The sequence below is a fragment of the Homo sapiens genome, chromosome 5, assembly GCF_000001405.40.
Source record: "Homo sapiens chromosome 5, GRCh38.p14 Primary Assembly".
Taxonomy (NCBI): Eukaryota; Metazoa; Chordata; class Mammalia; order Primates; family Hominidae; genus Homo; species Homo sapiens.
In genome coordinates this window covers 43,716,281-43,718,455 of record NC_000005.10, presented here as the reverse complement: position 1 = coordinate 43,718,455, position 2,175 = coordinate 43,716,281, and the positions used below count along the sequence as shown (strand labels likewise).

The 2,175-nt window shown below is 41.2% G+C and overlaps 1 annotated feature.

Moving 5' to 3' along the window:
* Positions 233-857: an enhancer, noted in NCBI's record as "NANOG-H3K27ac-H3K4me1 hESC enhancer chr5:43717701-43718325 (GRCh37/hg19 assembly coordinates)". NCBI's record gives its function as "activates a minimal SCP1, AML or CMV promoter by ChIP-STARR-seq in naive H9 embryonic stem cells {active_cell/tissue: H9 hESC(naive)}" and the evidence as "EXISTENCE:reporter gene assay evidence [ECO:0000049][PMID:30033119]".

Genomic DNA, 2,175 nt, shown 5'->3' with positions numbered 1-2,175 from the left:
TCCACCCAGTTGGAGCTTCCCGGCTGCTTTGTTTACCTAAGCAAGCCTGGGCAATGGTGGGCGCCCCTCCCCCAGCCTCGCTGCCGCCTTGCAGTTTGATCTCAGACTGCTGTGCTAGCAATCAGTGAGACTCCATGGGCGTAGGACCCTCCAAGCCAGGTGCGGGATATAATCTCGTGGTGCGCCATTTTTTAAGCCAGTCGGAAAAGGGCAGTATTCGGGTGGGAGTGACCTGATTTTCCAAGTGCGTCTGTCACCCCTTTCTTTGACTTGGAAAGGGAACTCCCTGACCCCTTGCGCTTCCCAAGTGAGGCAATGCCTCGCCCTGCTTCGGCTCACGCACGGTGCGCGCACCCACTGACCTGCGCCCACTGTCTGGCACTCCCAAGTGAGATGAACCCGGTACCTCAGATGGAAATGCAGAAATCACCCGTCTTCTGCGTCGCTCACGCTGGGAGCTGTAGACAGGAGCTGTTCCTATTTGGCCATCTTGGCTCCTCCCACCAACATAACTTTTATATGCACTGGGAAACCAAAACATTTGTGTGACTCATTTTATTGTGATATTCACTTTATTGTGGTGGTCTAGAACTGAACCTGCAATATCTCCAAGTTATGCCTGTATACACCTCTCTACATGCATAAGAAGAGGATTATTTATATCTCACAAACATTTTGAGGGTTAAGTCTCCCAAAATTTAAACTGAGAGAACACATTTAAATGTCAAAGAACATACCAAACCAAAAAAGTGTTTAATTAAATTTAAAATTCAATGATCAGATGACAATGGGAAATGCTGTATATTATAACCTTCCTTTTGGAGATTTACAGAGCATATTATTATCAATCCTGTGACAAAAGAAAAAAAGCACTATTTAATTTTATTTAAGGCAGCATTTCCCAAACCTGTGTGACCACAGAACCCATTTTTCTCTTTCCTGCAATTAGCATTGCACTTTAAGAAGTGCTTCTCCAGATCAATTACTACCCCAGATATTCTAAATTGAAGAACAAGCAGCAATTATCCCTAGGGAAATAAAAGTGGCAGCTTTTGACACACACCCCTCAGAAAATGACAAAAATACTATTCATAAGATAAACATTGGTTAAAACATGATTGCTATTCTTGCTCAACCCATTCAAAGGTGGAATAGCAATATTAAAAGAAAATCTAAAGCTCCATCACTTCCTTTTTTCTTATATTAATAAACCCACTGTATATAATTTTTATGTTTAATTATTACAGGCTTCAGTGAAGATAAATCAGAGAACTGCAAAGTGTATTAAACCATTATGGTTCTTCCTTAACACGTCTGAAATTATTTAATTATAAAAGAAAGGGAAGCTATAAATTATTATGGTGTGGAAAAACAGGAATAATATTGACGGCGCTCCAGTGATGTTTTTACAATGCCTGCTAGTACAAGGCATGTTAGCTCTTATTAGTTTTCTCACTTCTGGAAATGATTTTGTTCATGGGCTACAACTGAAATGGGTCAGGCATTGTAAGGGAGCCTACATTGGTCTAATAAGTCTTCATTTCAAGCATAGCACACTTAGCTTTAATTTCCTCCTCTTGAAACATCTCATAGAGCTTTTAGAATGCCAAGTGACTGCTTTCTTGCCCCCAATAGTAATAAAAAACCAAGTCCAGGCACAAGAATTTCTAAAGAAAGAAAGAGAGAATTTAATTGTTCAGAATCACAGTTCATTCATTCACTCATTCATTTAACAAATATTGAGTACATTCTGTGTGTCAGCGTATATGGGAAGAATTGGGAATACTACAGTGGTCAAAACAGACAAGGTCTCTGACCCTTTGGAGCTTACAGTTCTAGGAGATATAAATATAATTACACATAAAAAAGGTTGAATTGCCACTGCGATAAGTGCTCAAAGAGGAGTTTTTTGGTACTATCAGAGCCTATAATGGGAAAATTAACCTAATCACAGGGTTCAGGGAGTTAAAAGCTGAAGGAACAGGCCAGGCATGGTGGCTCATGCCAACACGTTGGGAGGCCAAGGCAGATGGATCACTTGAGGCCATGAGTTCAAAACCAGCCTGGGCAACATGGCAAAACCCCGTCTCTACTAAAAATATAAAAATTAGGCAGGTATGGTGGTTCATGCCTGCGGTAACCCTACTCGGGAGGCTGAGGCAGGAGAATCACTTG